The 17,868-nt window shown below is 36.4% G+C and overlaps 1 long non-coding RNA gene across 1 annotated transcript in view, besides 1 other annotated feature; it reads right to left on the bottom strand.

The window, feature by feature from the left end:
* The window catches only part of MIR924HG (MIR924 host gene), a 545,072-nt gene that overhangs the window by 179,619 nt on the left and 347,585 nt on the right, over window positions 1-17,868 (bottom strand). The window lies entirely within an intron of this gene.
* Window positions 2,913-3,622: an enhancer, noted in NCBI's record as "NANOG-H3K27ac-H3K4me1 hESC enhancer chr18:36969419-36970128 (GRCh37/hg19 assembly coordinates)". NCBI's record gives its function as "activates a minimal SCP1, AML or CMV promoter by ChIP-STARR-seq in primed H9 embryonic stem cells {active_cell/tissue: H9 hESC(primed)}" and the evidence as "EXISTENCE:reporter gene assay evidence [ECO:0000049][PMID:30033119]".

Genomic DNA, 17,868 nt, shown 5'->3' on the forward strand with positions numbered 1-17,868 from the left:
CACCTTCTAAATTTCAGAAAATTAATGAGTTAGAAAAATAACGAGTATATCAAAAGTATATTGAAAGAAATAAATAAGTAAATGTATGGAAACCACTTCCTCTTTGCTTTCCAGTCTTTTCTTCACAATCACCTTCTTTGGCCCTGCCCTGGCCACCCTCTTACTTCCAGCACTCCTGATCTTTAACATGCTGTGTTTACTTATGCAGTAATTGTCACCTCCTATAATCTATATTATTTAATGTTTATATAATCAACTTAATTATTATGTATATTATTTATTTATTGTTTTGTTCACTGATGAATTCCCAACATTGAGAAATATATATCTATGTCTAATTTGTGCTCAGTAAATATTTACTAAATGAATGTACTAAATAGGTATAGTAATAGGTATAAATAGGCATAGGTATACTTTTTTTGTTGTTTTTCTTTACCTCCCTCTCTTACTGTATATTTCCTTCAAGAAGGAATTCATATACTAAGTATCAAGATGAACACCAAAAAAGACCATCAACTAGACAATTATACTGTTTACAAAGTATCAAGTATTTAGATAATTGTAAAGTTATAGATAACTGACAAGCTTTCAGTTTCTTCACTGTAAAGAGACTGTAAAGTCCCATCACGTAATTCTTTAATTTGATGTACTTACAGAAATGTTTGCTTTTAAAGTGCCTACTGTCTTTATTGGCAGTGATGGAAACAGAGCCCCATAGACACTTCAGCAATGTCACTGTGGGAAGTTATTTTTCTCCAAACCCTATTGATGTGAAACAATTATATTTACCATCACATTCAATTCAACTATGCTCAAATAGATATGTTTACAAAGCAAAATCAAAGGCTGAAAGAACCAAACTTTTTTTTCCTACACTTCAAATTTCTATCAGTTAGAAAATTTAGATTGGTGAAAAGAAGAAAGTAGAAGTTATATAAATAACAAATTTATTTATTTATATAGTTGTAAAATTTACTAGAGATGAGGTTTTGCTATGCTATCCAGGCTGGACTCAAACTTCTGACCTCAAGCTATCCTCCCACTTCGGCCTCCCATGTAGCTAGAACTACAAGCATCTATCACATTATGCCGGCAGACAATAACTTTAATTGCCAACTTTATTTGTTTTATTTATAAACACGACTAATGTATTTCCAATATATATTATAAATTGACTACTGGCCAAATCAATTATCTTTACCACAATTTCTAAAGTTGCTTTTTGAAATATTTCACTTCCACCACAAATGATTGCTACCTAGATTTATAACCGTTCACAATTTACCACATTATTAATCATTACCTTATTGATTAAATATTACATTTCTTTATGCATTTATCTACTCATTCATTCAATGAATATTTATGACAAACCTTGTTTATGACACCACCAATGTATTATTTTAAAACCTGACAAAAATCTTTGTTTTCTTGAAGCCTAGGATCAGCATTAATTCATGTAGAAATCATGATTAAGTGATATATTATCAGAGATTTTTACTTCTTCCTGATAATTTTGTACTCAGATTTTCCAAATCCTATGTTTCACAAGCAAACACTTTGGAAAATGGAAGCAGAAATATATTCCTGTCTATAAAGCCAAAAGAGATTAAATAAAAGCTTGCCTGAAAACTAGATTCTTTTTAGGGTAACAGAATCCAATTATTAAAAGAAAAAAAATTCAAAAAATCACAATCATATATATTTAAAAATATACTTTATAGCTTGAGGTATTGTTACTACTAGTATGTCATTCAGGAACATGAAACCAGTAGAAAAATAATTATCATGAGGTTATTGCACAAACAAATATAACACATATATAAACATGAATCTATAATAGAAATTCAAGATTTTGAAAAATGAAAAGTCATAGAAAATCATACCTCTCATAGAAATTGATAAGAGTAAGTAAGCAAGCAACAATAGTAAATCGTACTTCTGCTTCTCCGAGGTGAGTAACATGGACTGATTTACATTTCCACCTGAAATAACCAAAAAATGGACAAAATATATGAAAAAGGTGATTACTAGGATACTGAATATCATGTAAAGAAGTACAGTGATCCCTGAGCGATGGAGGAAAAATGAGTAGAACCCTATGATTGCCCCAGCTTTTTGTTCTAAAAGAGTTTCCAGACAACACACACAGGGAGGAATCTTCTAGGTGGAGTCCCAGAGGACTCCCTGAGTTGAGAACAAGAATTTAAGATTCCAAAACAGCTAGAGTCTATAGCACAGAGAGTTAGAGAGGAGACAGCTGTACAAAGTCTGAATTTTGGGGGAATCTGAAGAGTCTCATTTAAATATCCAGCTGATTAATTATAAGTGTATATGTAGAAGAAAATGTCCGGAGTCTGGAGACAGAACCAAGAGAGAGAATTAGAGGTTAGATTTCCAGTGCTTACACAGAGCCAGTGTTATTGTCTGAATGTTTGTCCCCCTGATATTCATATGTTGAAATTCTAACACCTCCTCGTTTTCTTCAACTGCGTGAAGTTTCATGAAAAACCTACAGCTAACATCATAGTTAATGGGAAAAGACTGGGTGCTTTGCCTCAAAGATAAAAAATGCAAAGATGCTGGCTTTCACAACTTCCATTTCAATATTGTTCTGGTAATTCTACCCAATGCAATGAGGCAAGAAAAATAAATACAAATCATTCAGTTTGGAAAGGAATATTTAAAACTGTATTTAATGAAGAAAAATACAAAGGATTTTTTTTAAAAAACTAGAATTATTAAATGGGTTTAGCAAGACTAATTAAAGACCATTATATAAATATCAATTGTATATCTATACACTAAAAATATTTTTAAATCAGAAATTAAAATTAATAACACACCCCATTTATATAGCATAAAAATTATGACATACTTAGGTTTAAATCTCACAAAATATGTTTATGACACATACTAAAAACTTCAAAGCCTCACTTATGAAAATTGAAGACTAAGGGCCAACTGGAAGCAGCGTGATTGGAGGATCTCATCGAAAAGAACCATAACAGCATGCAAATCCTGCACAGGCACCTGAAGTATCCAGGTTCTGTCATCAGAACGGACTATGCAGCTGGTGTGACCCACAGAGAGGAAGGAAGAGCCAGTGTGATGTGGCTGTCCACCTGAGAGCCACACAGGGCAGGGGAGCCCCCACCCCCCAAGCCAAGGGAGGTGGTGAGTGAGCATGCTACCCAGCCTGGGAAAATGTGCTTTTTATATGGAACTGTGCAACCCACAGATCTGAAGACCTCACTTGTGAGCCCACACCACCAGGGCCTAGGGTCCCAGCCACAGAGCAGAGCAGATTCTCAACAGCCACTCAGCTAGAATCTGCTTAAGCCTACCAAGCTCCCAGGGGGAGGGGCAGCCAGCACCAGAGCTGTGGCTGCCTGCTGTCTAAGCCTTTTGAGCTCCTTGGAAGAGAGGCGACAGCCAACACTGGGACTGGTAGTTGCCTAACACAACAAGCTCCCAGGGTGGGGGAAGGGTGGCAGCCATTTCTATAGGCTCCAGGCCACCCTTTTTTCCTACTGGAGCCAGGGAAGCTGGATGGCTTGGTTCCAAGAGCTATCACCAACAGCCAAACACACCAGCTGTGGCAGACTGCAGCCAGAGTGCCTATTCAGGCCTGACACTGACCCATCCCTCTTCACTGCGCTGGGCCTCCCTACGGGAACTCCAGCAACTCCAGTCAGGGGCTCAAGGTCAGAACTCTGATCTCCGTGAGCCTGAGCCCTTAGGGAGAGGGGTGGCCACAGTCTCTGCAGACAAACAGACTTAATCTTTCCTCTTGCTAATTCTGAGGCATCCGGGGAGTGCAGACGAGTGTGTTTCCCCCCAGCAAAGCACATCCCTTCCACCAAGGGACAGTCAAAGTGATTTGTTAAACGGGTCCTGCTCCCTGTGCCACCCAACTGGGTGAGACCCTCCAAAAGGGGTTGTCAGACACCCTATACAAGACCATTCCTACTGGCAACAGGTCAGTGCCCCTCAAGGTCAGAGATCCCAGAGGAAGGAGTAGGCATCCATCTTTACTGTTCTCCAACCTGCCTCCTTGAGTGACATCTCCAGGTGTGGGAGCAAATCAGATGAATAGGGCCTGAAGTGAACCCCCAGCAAACTGCAGCAGCTCTACAGAAGAGGGGCCTGACCATTGCAAGAAAAACAAACAGCAACAATAACAGCATCAACAAAAAAAGGCCCCACAAAACCCCATCTAAGGGTCAGCAACCTCAAAGATTGATACTAGACAAACTCATGAAGATGAGAATCAATTAAAAAAACACTGAAAACCCAAAAGGCCAGAGTGCCTCTTCTCTTCCATATGATCATAACACATCTCCAGCAAGGCGACAGAACTGGATGGAGGATGAGATGGATGAATTGACAGAAGTAGGCTTCAGGAAGTGGATAATAACAAACTCCGCTGAGCTAAAGGAGCATGTTCTAACCCAATGCAAAGAAGCTAAGAACTGATAAAAGGTTACAGGAGCTGCTAACTAGAATAACCAGTTTATAGCAGAACATAAATTACCTGATGGGGCTGAAAAACACAGCACGAGAACTTTGTGAGGCATACACAAGTATCAATAGCTGAATCAAACAAGTGGAAGAAAGGATATCAGAGTTTGAAGATCATCTTGCTGAAATAAGACATGCAGACAAAATTAGAGGAAAAAAGAATGAAAAGGAATAAACAAAACCTCCGAAAAATATGAGACTGTGTAAAAAGACCAAACCTACGATTGATTGGAGAACCTGAAAGAGATGGGGTAGGCCAGGAGCAGTGGCTCATGCTTGTAATCCCAGCACTTTGGGAGGCTGAGGCGGGTGGATCACGAGGTCAGGAGATTGAGAACACCCTGGCTAACACGGTGAAACCCCATCTTTACTAAAAATACAAAAAAAAAAAAAAATTAGCTGGGCGTGGTGGCAGGTGCCTGTATTCCCAGCTACTCGGGAGGCTGAGGCAGGAGAATGCCATGAACCCTGGAGGTGGAGCTTGCAGTGAGCCAAGATCGCGCCACTGCACTCCAGCCTGGGCGACAGAGCCAGACTCCCAGACTCCACCTCAAAAAAAAAAAAAAAAAAAAAAAGAGACAGGGAGAATGGAACCAAGTTAGAAAACACTCTTCGGATATTGTCCAGGAGAACTTCCCTAACCTAGTAAGACAGGCCAACGTTAAAATTTAAGAATACAGAGAACACCACTAAGATATGCTACGAGAAAAATCAACCCCAAGACACATAATCCTCAGGTTCTCCAAGGTCAGAATGAAGGCAAAAATGGTAAAGGTGGCCAGAGAGAAAGGTCACGTCACCTACAAAGGGAAGCCCATCAGACTAACAGCAGATCTCGCAGCAGAAACCCTACAAGCCAGAAAAGAGTAGGGACCAAAAGAAAAGAATTTTCAGCCCAGAATTTCATATGCAGCCTAACTAAGCTTCCTAAGCAGAGGAGAAATAACATTCTTTCCAGACAAGCAAATGCTGAGGGATTTTGTCACCAGCAGGCCTGCCTTGCAAGAGCTCCTGAAGGAGCTAAATATGGAAGGGAAAAACCAGTACCAGCCACGGCAAAAACACACCAAAATATAAAGACCAATGACACTATGATGAAACTGAATCAACTAGTGTGCAAAATAACCAGTTAGGATCACGATGACAGGATCAAATTCACACAACTATATTCACCTTATATGTAAATGCGCTAAATCCCCCAATTGAAAGATACAGACTGGCAGATTCGATAGAGTCAAGACTCATTGGTGAGCTGTATTCAGGAGATGCATCTCACGTGCAAAGGCACACATTGGCTCAAAATAGACAAAGGAAAATTCACCAAGCAAATGGAAAGAAAAAAAAAAGCAGGGGTTACAATGCTAGTCATTGACAAAACCGACTTTAAACCAGCAAAGATCCAAAAGACAAAGAAGGGCATTACATAATTGTAAAGGGATCGATTCAGCAAGAAGAGCAAGCTAACTGTCCTAAATATATATACACCCAATACAAGAGTATCCAGATTCATAAAACAAGTTCTTAGACACCTACAAAGAGACTTAGACTCCCACACAATAATAGTGGGAGACTTTAAGACCCCACTGTCAATATTAGACAGATAAGTAAGACGGAAAATTAACAAGGATATTCAGGACTTGAGCTCATCTCTGGATCAAGTGGACCTAATAGACATCTACAGAACTCTCCACCCCAAATCAACAGAATATACGTTCTTCTCAGTGCCATATGGCACTTATTCTAAAATTGACCACATAATTGGAAGTAAAACACTCCTCAGCAAATGCAAAAAAAAACTGAAATCATAACAAACAATCTCTCAGACCACAGTGCGATCAAATTAGAACTCAGGATTAAGAAACTCACCCAAAACCACACAACTGCATGGAAATTGAACAACCTGCTCCTGAATGGCTCCTGGGTAAATAATGAAATTAAGGCAGAAATCAAGAAGTTCTTTGAAACCAATGAGAACAAAGAGACAATGAACCAGAGTCTCTGGGACACAGCTAAAGCAGTGTTAAGAGGGAAATTTATAGCACTAAATGCCCACATCAGAAAGCTAGAAAGATCTCAAATTGACACCCTAACATCACAATTAAAAGAGCTAGAGAAGCAAGAGCAAACAAATCCAAAAGCTAGCAGAAGACAAGAAGTAACTAAGATCAGAGCAAAACTGAAGGAGATAGAGACATGAAAAACCCTTCAAAAAATCAATGAATCCAGGAGCTGTTTTTTTAAAAAAAAATTAACAAAACATACCATTAGCTAGACTAATAAAGAAGAAAAGGGAGAAGAATCAAATAGACAAAATAAAAGATGAAAAAGGGGATGTCACCCCTTACCCCACAGAAATACAAACTGCCCTCAGAGAATACTATAAACACATCTATGCAAATAAACTAGAAAGTCTAAAAAAAATGGATAAACTCCTAGACACATACACCTTCCCAAGACTAAACTAGGAAGAGGTCAAATCCTTGAATAGACCAATAACAAGTTCTGAAACTGAGGCAGTAATTAATAGCCTACCAACCAAAAAAAGCCCAGGACCAGACGGATTCACAGCCAAATTCTACCAGAGATACCAAGAGGAGCTGGTACCATTCCTTCTGAAACTATTCCAAACAATTGAAAAGGAGGGACTCATCCCTAACTCAATTTATAAGGCCAGCATCATCCTGATACCAAAACCTGGCAGAGACACAACAACAACAAATTTCAGGCTAATATCCCAGATGAACATCAATGGGAAAATCTTCAATAAAATACTGGCAAACCGAATCCAGCAGCACATCAAAAAGTTTATCCACACGATCAAGTCGGCTTCATCCGTAGGATGCAAGCCTAGTTCAAAATATGGAAATCAATAAAAGTAACCCATCACATAAACAGAACCCATAACAAAAACCACACAATCACCTCAATATATGCAGAAAAGGCCTTCGATAAAACTCAACATCTCTTCATGTTAAAAACTCTCAATAAACTAGGTGTTGATGGAACATATCTCAAAATAATAAGAACTATTTATGACAAATCCATAGCAAATATCACACTGAATGGGCAAAATCTGGAAGCATTCCCTTTGAAAACCAGCACAAGACAAGGATGCCCTCTCTCACTCTTATTCAACATAGCATTGGAAGTTTTGGCCAGGGCAATCAGGCAAGAGAAAGAAATAAAGGATATTCAAATAGGAAGGGAGGAAGTCAAATTGTCTCTGTTTGCAGATGATATGGTTCTATATTTAGAAAGCCCCATCACCTCAGCCCAAACTTCTTAAGCTGATGAGCAACTTCAGCAAAGTATCAGGATACAAATTCAATGTGCAAAAATCACAAACATTCCTATACACCAACAATAGAGAAGCAGAGAGCCAAATCATGAATGAACTCCTATTCACAATTGCTACAAAGAGAATAAAATACCTAGGAATACAGCTAACAAGGGATGTGAAGGACCTCTTCGAGGAGAAGTACAAACCATTGTTCAAGGAAATAAGAGATGACAGAAACAATGAAAAAAAAATCCATTCTTATGGAATAGGAATAATCAATATTGTGAAAATGACCATACTGACCAAAGTAATTTATAGATTAAATGCTATTCCCATCAAACTACCATCGACATTCTTCACAGAATTAGAAAAAACTACTTTAAATTTCATATCGAACCAAAGAAGAGCCCAATATAGCTGAGACAATCCTAAGCAGAAAGAACAAAGCTGGAGGCATCACACTACCTGACTTCAAACTATACTACAAGGCTACAGTAACCAAAACAGCATGGCAATTGTACCAAACAGACATCTAGACCAATGGAACAGAACAGATTCCTCAGAAATAACACCACACATCTACAACCATCTTCGACAAAACCTGACAAAAACAATCAATGGGAGAAAGGATTCCCTATTTAATAAATGGTGCTGGGAAAGCTGGCTAGCCATATGCAGAAAACTAAAACTGAACCCTTTTCTTATGCCTTATACAAAAATTAACTCGAGATGGATCAAAGTCCTAAATGTAAAACTCCAAACCATAAAAACCCTAGAAGAAATCAAAGTCAATACCATTCAGGACATAGGCATGGGCAAAGACTTCATGACAAAAACACCAAAAGCAATTGCAACAAAAGCCAAAATTGACAAATGGGATCTAATTGAACTAAAGAGCTTCAGCACAGCAAAAGAAATTATCATCTAAGTGAACAGGTTACCTACAGAATGGGAGAAAATTTTAGCAATCTATCCATCTGACAAAGATCTAATATCCACAATCTACAAGGAACTTAAACAAATTTACAAGAAAAAAAAAAACCCCATCCAAAAGTGGGCAAAGATATGAACAGACACTTCTCAAAAGAAGACATTTATACAGCCAACAAACATATGGAAAAAAGCTCAATATCACTGATTATAAGAGAAATGGAAATCACAACCACAATGAGATACCATCTCATGCCAGTCAGAATGGCAATTATTAAAAAGTCAAGAAACAATAGATGCTTGTGAGGCTGTGGAAAAACAGGAACACTTTTACACTGTTGGTGGGAATCTAAATTAGTTCAACCATTGTGGAAGACAGTGTGGCAATTACTCAAGGACCTAGAACCAGAAATACCATTTGACCCATCAATCCCATTACTGGGTATATAGCCAAAGGAATGTAAATCATTCTACTATAAAGACACATGCACAGGTATGTTTATTGCAGCACTATTTACAATAGCAAAGACATGGAACCAACCCAAATGTCCATCAATGATAGACTGGATAAAGAAAATGTGGTACATATATACCATGGAATACTATGCAGCCATAAAAAGGAATGAGATCATGTCCTTTGCAGGGACATGGATGAAGCTGGAAGCCATCATTCTCAGCAAACTAACACAGGAACAGAAAACCAAACACCACATATTCTCACTCACAACTGGCAGTTGAACAATGAGAACACATAGACACAGGGAGGGGACAACACACACTGGGGCCAATCAGGGGGTTGGGGATGATGGGAGGGAGAGCATTAGGACAAACAGTTAAGCATGCGGGTCTTAAAACGTAGATGATGGGCTGATAGGTACAGCAAACCACCAAGGCACACATGTACCTATGTAACAAAGCTGCATGTTCTGTACTTGTATTCTGGAACTCAAAGTAAAATTAAAAGAAAAATTTAAAAAACCATAAAAAACAAAAAAAAATTAAAGAAAAGAAAAATTGAAGACTTAAGTAATTGGAAATGTATTAATTTAAATAAAGTTTAAAATAAATTTATTATTTATATAATATATAATAATTTATTTTAAAATAACATATTTGTATATTTAAATAATTTTTAATATACATTTTAAAAATTAATTGGCAGGGTAATACATGCCTGTACTCCTAGCTACTGTTGAGGATGAGGTGGGAGGATTCCTTGAGCCCAGAGTTCAAGGCTACAGTGAGCTATGATCAAATCGCACCACTGTACTGGAGCCTCAGCAGCAGAGACCCTTAAAAAAGAAGTTGGAGTACAAAAACTCCCTGATTTCAAGTCTTCTTACAGTGCACACTTCCTACAGTGCTAATCCGACGATGGTGGTATTATACAATAATTAAGACAGTGTAGTATTGCCACAAATATAGACAAATAGATTAATTAAACAAAATAGGGAGTCCAGAAAAATGATCCACACACATATATACATCCCTATTTTTCCACAAAGTTGTAAAGGTAATTAAATGGAGAAAGGCTAACTTTTCACAAGTGTTGTTAGAATACCCAGAAATTCTATGTAAAAAAACAAAAACTTGAATTCATACCTCAACCATATACAAAAATTAATTCAAAGTAAACGACAAAACTAAATATATAATCTACAGCTATAAAACTTTTAGAAGAAAACAGGATACAATTGCGTAACCTTGGTTTAGACGACAGTAGTTTGCGTATAACAGCATAAGGTAAAAAAATAATTGAACTGGACTTTATCTAAATTACTTTTTTTTTGTTGTTCTTTGATATTCACTGTTAAGATAATGAAAACATTAGCCAAAGTCTGGGGAAAAAATATTTGCAAAGCATATATATTATAAAATACTTGTATAAGTAATAAATAAAGAACTCTCAAAACTCAATAAGAAAATAAAACACCTAACACAAAATGTGCAAAAGATTTTACCAAGGAAGATATACACATTGAAAGTAAGCCATGATAAGAAGTTCAACATGATTAGTCATTAGGGAAATACAAATTAAAATCGCAATGATCTACAACTCTTCACCAGTAAAATGGCTAAAATTAAGAAGCCTGACGATACCAATGACAGGCAAGTATGTGGAACAACTGGAACTCTTTTACTCTGTTGGAGGGAATATGAAATGATGCAATCGTACTGGAAAACTGTTCAGCGGTTTTGTTAAAAAGTTATACATGCATAAGCTATATGATACTGCCATTCCACGTCTATGTATTTGCCCCGAAATGAAGGCATACATCCATTCAAATACTTTCACACAAATGTTCATTGTAGGTTATTTTAATAACCAAAATCTGGAAACAATCCAAATGTCCATCAACAGGTGAATGGATAAACAAATTGTGAAATACTACTCAGCAATATTAAGGAATGCATTATTTATACACTTCAATGCCATGAATGGATCTCAGAATGGTTACTATGATCAAAAGAAGCCAGATGAAAAAGAGTACCTACTGTATGACTCCATTTACTTAAAACTGAAAAATGTCAATTAATTTATAGTGACAGAAAGCAGACCAGTGGTTGCTTTAAAGCAGAAGGGGAAGGCAGGGATGAATTACAAAGTGGTTCAGGAAAACTTTTAGGGGTAATAGATATATTCATTATCTTGATCATGGTGATAATTTCATGGTGTGTACATGTCAAAGCTTATGAAATTTAGTAAATTCTACATGATGTGAATTTTACTGCACGTCAATTATTTCTCTATATAGCTTTTCAAAAAGTTAGCAAGAATGTAGATGATTTGATGAAGTACATTAAAAATCTGACTTAATTATCATGTGAGATGAAGCATTCATCAAATTAAAAATATAGATTTATTTAAAATATACCTGGACCAGGTATTACAATGTAACTGGCACAAATGGCACACAAGAAATCTCAAAGATCAACAAAATTTAATATCAGACCAAACTCTCTGGCCACAAAATAACTTTGGAAATGCTTAATAGAAAGACAAAGAAAATTTAAACTCTTCTTTATACTTTTGTTGAAAATCTAAAGATTTCATACCGACTGTGTGCCAGGCATTATTAATTAACTGTCTATAAGTGTTCTCTATTATGTTAAGGTGTCTACTATAAACTTCCAAAATACTTATTATTAACACGGTAAATATTTTTGAAACCAATCCTTGTTTTTTGCCTTTTCATCTTATCTCTCAACCATATAATAAATGTCACTACTATCACTTACCAAATCTTTCCTTCCTCAATTAAGAAGAAAACTGAGATATAAGTGGAGATTTTTGTTTATTTGTTTGTTTTTGAGACAGAGTCTCACTCTGTCACGCAGGCTGGAGGGCAGTGGGGCGTTCTCGGCTCCCTGCAACCTCTGCCTCCTGGATTCAAGCAATTCTTGTGCCTCAGCCCCCCGAGTAGCTAGGATTACAGGGTGCACCACCAAACCCAGCTAATTTCTGTATTTTATTATTTTAGTAGAGACAGGGTTTTATCATGTTGCCCAGGTTGGTCTTGAACTCCTGGCCTCAAGTGATCCACCCACCTCAGCCTCCCAAAGTGCTGAGATTACAGGTATTAACCACTGTGCCCACCTTCCAGTGGAGTTTTCAAAGTCTAGTTTCTGAATCACATTGAATTAAAATTATTTGTAAGATTGTAACGATATAGGTGATTATTCATTATTGTTTTTTTTCTTTTACTTCTTATCACAAAACAAAATGTTCTTAGTTGTTCCGAAAGTATTTTATTATTATTATCATAAAGAGTGTTAGAAGAGGATTTATAAAAAAAATTCACAAAGATATTTTGTATTACATAAATCTCCCTACACATATCTAAGCTATTGTTGAGTTCCCATGGACTTTTGTATACTTACATGTCAGCAACTCAGTTCTAGCATTTATTTTAAAAAAACCCAAACTAAAAGGTATTATATTATATCAAAATACTGAAAAAACATCAGAATTTGTTATTTGTAACACTGACAAAGTATGCAACAGCAGATGCTGTTGTAATGCAGGAGAAGCTTCTGTAATGCAGGAGAGCAAAGACTCAGCCCATGGTTAATAGAGAGTTGATGCAGTTATGGGAGTACATGAGAAGGGCACAACTAGAGTACTTACTGTGACCAACGCTAAAGGGCTGGATAAAAGCAGAGGTGACTGAGAAGGAACAAATAAGAAATGTGTACCAAGAGAGTCTAAGAATGAGAGACAGTGGTGCCACGGAAGCCAATATGGGAGAGTACATTGGGATAGTGAACAGTGCCACTCTCCATGTTCAGAGTGGTCATGGGGGTCAAGGAAACACCAGATGTCCCCAGATTCCATCTAGAACAGAGAGATATCCATTTTGACCTGTAGGGTCAAGCCATCTAGATTCAGAAAAATCAGTGAAATTTTCTTTTTTATGCTAATTTGTAGATCTATTTATATGAACAAAATGGGCTTGATAAAAAAGACAACACATGAATACCATACAAGAAACTGAGTACATCACTCTGAAGAAATGCTGAGTGCAAACACAGACTTGGCTTCAAATTTCAGATTTTGAGAATTCAATGGTTCTTCTAAAAGCGTGGGAGAGATGTGTTTGCAATGCAAAATGAAGTTGGCAACTCTATGCAATAAACATTTGTTGGTACCTATTCTGTGTAGGAAACTATTTTAGAAACTGTGACTGTAGAAAATAGAAAGACTATTTTAATTTACATCTAGGAACTTAGAATCATGGATTTCTATATGATAAAAATTGATATGTAACATGAATAATTACTGTATTTGAGGCAAGTACAAAGTACTATGTTTGTTCATATGTATACATAAATATGTATATCTTAAGCATGCAGATAAAATGAATATACAATTATTCACACTTTTAGAGACATATGCAGATAATTTTTTCTCCAAAGTGTTTGGTCCAACATAGATATATAAATAGTCTATATTTTTATATGCTTGTAGAAACATATAATTTGAGAAGGTAAAAATATGTAATTTGTGTATAAGTCATCACAGAGATTAATTAATCTTCCCAGGGTTGAGACTGGGAAATCTCACATAACAGATGTGATATTTGAAAATGTATAGAAGTGTGTGGTATAAAGAAAGATTTGAGGTAAAAGAGAAGAAGAGAAAGTCCATATGAAATACTGGCAATTTTGTCCCACTTCAAGTTTGAGAATTCATGGAATATTGAATGTATTCCTTTTGAAATCATGTATAAATAATACAGAGGATCATTTCTCCTTGAATCACCCTTCACCCAGTCTGCTAATCTTTGAAAGCAATTTTTTAAAAAATGCCAGAGGAGTATGTTATTTTTGTAAGATAATTCTACGATAATTTTTGTAAGACAATGTTATTTTTGTGAGGAAGGGGAACATCACACTCTGGGGACTGTTGTGGGGTGGGGAGGGGGGAGGGATAGCATTAGGAGATATACCTAATGCTAAATAACGAGTTAATGGGTGCAGCACACCAGCATGGCACATGTATACATATGTAACTAACCTGCACATTGTGCACATGTACCCTAAAACTTAAAGTATAATAATAATAAAAAAGATAATTTCTAAGATAATTAATTAGCTTAGATTATTTTATTGAGAGATATAGTCAATTAGAGAAAGTAATATTTAGCATTGGTTTAAATACATTTATTTTGTTGATTTAGCTTAACTTTGCACATGTTTAAATTTTATAAATGTATAATACTATATATTATACATATCAATATATGTGTATATATGTGTATGGGTATATGCATGTATTTGTGTATACGTACTTATATGTATAAGTATGTGTATGTATATGTATATGTATATGTATATGTATATGTATATGTATATGTATATAACCAAACTGAGAAGATTATTCTGGTAACTTGTAGGATGATATAGATTCAGACGCCGAGTGTAATGGTGTTTAAAATCGCATTAAAATAAATACGGAATTGTTGTATGGTCAGTCTGAATGTTATTCAGAAAATGGAATGTTGAATCCGTGTATGAAGATGAAGCAGCTTCCTACGCATTGGCAACCAATCTGTTCTGAATAAGTAGGACAAAGTAATAAATGTGTATGTTTTAGAGACGAATGTGTTCCCCTTTTGTTTTTACTTTTTTTTTTTTACCCCCTTGGAAATCTGAAAATGTAAACAACATGAACAGACACGAATGAAAATCTCTCCCAGATATATCTCAGACTGATATAGAATTGAGTTATATTCCATAGCACACAAATATAAATTGCTCTGACCAGGTATGGTGGCTCACGCCTGTAATCCCAATACTTTGAAAGGCTGGGATGGGTGGACCGCTTGAGGCAAAGAGTTCGAGACCAGCCTGGGCAACAAAATGAGACACCCTTCCCCCTGCCCATCTTTATAAAAAATTAAAAATTAGCTGTGTGTGATGATGAGCACAGATAGTACTAGCTACTTGGGAGGCTGAGGCAGGAGAATAGCTTGAGCCCAGGAAGTTGAGGCTGCAGTGAGCCATGATTGTGCCACTGCACTCCATCCTGGGTGACAGAGCAAGACCCTGTCTCAATAAATAAATAAATTAAATTAAATTGAAAATAACTTGCTTCTGAATGTGAAATACGCATCTGTGCAAATGTTCATCTTTTCTTGCTACCTTTCCTTTTTTGAGAAGGAGTTCCTTAACCTGGATATCTTTCCTTCAAAATTTAATTCATTCAAAGAATATTCACTGACCACCTGCTATGTGTAAGAAACAGTGTGCTAGATTTTGCCAATTCTAAAAGAAGACAGTGACTACCTTGGCATGAACTTAGTTTCGCTAAACCAAGAAAAATAGCTAGCACTGCAACTTATATCTGATATAAAAGTAAACTCAAAAGTATAAGTTTATTGTTTTTTACTAGTCTAAGACAAAATTTCAAAAAAACTTCATTTTTCATGAAAAAGAGACAAGTTTCAATTTTACAATGGCTGCAACATGCTAAAAAATTATTTTAAAAAATAAAGAGGGAGTCAAGAAGGTAGAGGGGGAGAGGCAAAGGGGAAGAAAGGAAAGAAGAGGTAATATGTGGAGTCTGATGCCAGGAGACCGGTAAGAAGTTGGTCTGGTTATCTTAATGAAGAGCACAGTCTTTGGAGCATATTTGTATATCTGAATAAAGTCAGGTCACTTGAGCCCAGGAGGTCAAGGCTGCAGTGAGCTGTTACCGTGATGCAGAGGAGGGATGGTCAGAAACTACATGAATACCTTTGGTGGCTGGGTGTGGTGGCTCATGCCTATAAACCCAGCAATTTGGGAGGCTGAGGCGGGCAGATCGAGACTGTCCTGGCCAACATGATGAAACCCTGTCTCTACTAAAAATACAAAAATTAGCTGGGTGCAGTGGCACGCGCCTGTAATCCCAGCTACTCGGGAGGCTGAGGCAGGAGAATCACTTGAACCCGGGAGGCAGAGGTTGCAGTGAGTCGAGATCATGCCACTGTATTCCAGCCTGGCGACAGAGCAAGACTCCATCTAAAAAAAAAAAAAAAAAAAATGACAACAACAACAAAAACCTCCTTGGTTATCAACAGTATTTACCAGATGAGAAGGAAAAGGGGAATTTAAGGCGAAGAAATCTTAAACCTTTTGGACTAATTCTGAGTTAGAATGAATAGAGAACAGGAAAAACAACAAAATCTTCATTAACCAGATAATTATATATTCTTTATGTAAGGTCCTGTAATACAACAGGCAAAGACCGGTTTCAATGTATTTTCATCATCTGACAAGTTTTAGAGATTTCTATGGATGCTGGTTCTTGTTGCCTGTATAATCCTATGAAAGGCCATAGCTATTTTTTTTTTTTTTTTGGCCAACAGAAAGTCCATAGCTATTTTCCCATATGAGTCAAACTATGTATTCTGCTCACTTTTAGGCTGAGTTGATGTTTGTCAAAAATTTTAGAGAAAAAGAAAACAAACATTGTTAAGCCCATTATCAAAAAAATTGGTCAAAGGTTTGCTAAGCAACTGTTCTGGAAACAACAACAAAATAAACTTATTTCAACAGTTTGAAATGTTAAGTATTTATTACATTTGGGAAAGCATGCAATGATTTCAGAAGGAAGGGGCATACGAATAGAAGCTGATTCCTTTTAATAGAAATAAAAAGTGGTTTTAGAGGAAGAAGAAGCTCTGAAGTTTTCACATTGCTAAAAAAATCTCACCAGGACAGCATTTATATCTCCATACTACATGAATTTGTTTTACGTAATTTCACAGTCCATCTAAAATAAGGGTCAAATTCAAGAGACATTTATGTAATGCTGGAATGGAAGACACCAAAAAATGCATAGGGCAAATATTTATACATTCTGTTCAGCTGGCTAAAACTGTGATCTAGATCAGCAGGTCTTTAAGTGGAGTCCGTGAATCCCTGGAAGTACCCAAGACTTTTTTCAGGCTAAGTGCAGAGTCAAACTATTTTCATTAAAAAATTAAGGTAATGTTTGCCTTTTTTATTGTGCTGACAATTGCACCAATGGTATAAATGAAACAGTGAGTATAACTGACAATGTCTTAATATGTGTAACAAGGCAATGGCACCAAACTATAGTAGTCATTGCATTACTCATTGCCACATAAGCTCAGGTGAAAAAAAAGATACTTTACCTAAGAATGTCCTTAAAGAAGTAGTGAAAATTATTAATTTCATTAAGTTCCATCTTGAGTGTATGTTGACTGTTCTGTGTGTGAAAATAAGTGGTATGCACAAAGCACTTCTGCTGCGTACCAACCACAGTGGTGGTCTCAAGGAAAACACGCGTGCTATTGAGTTGCAAGCTGAACTAGCCACTTTTTTTTTAAATGGAATGTCATTTTTGAAAGCTGTTGAAAGACATGTAAAAAACAATGGTTATTAAGACATGAGTATTGAGTAGACATTGTCTCATAAAATTAACTGTGTGAACTTGTCACTTCAAATAAAGCAATGGACAGTAGTTTTTGCCATTGATCAAATGTGAGGTTTCAAGCAAAAATTAAAATTGTGGAAAACTTATATCTGCCACCATGCACAGAACTGCTTCCTAATAGCTAATGACTTTTCTGATAGGATCAATGATAACATTAATGAATAAATTTATCAATATTTGGAAGATC

The sequence above is a fragment of the Homo sapiens genome, chromosome 18, assembly GCF_000001405.40.
Source record: "Homo sapiens chromosome 18, GRCh38.p14 Primary Assembly".
Taxonomy (NCBI): Eukaryota; Metazoa; Chordata; class Mammalia; order Primates; family Hominidae; genus Homo; species Homo sapiens.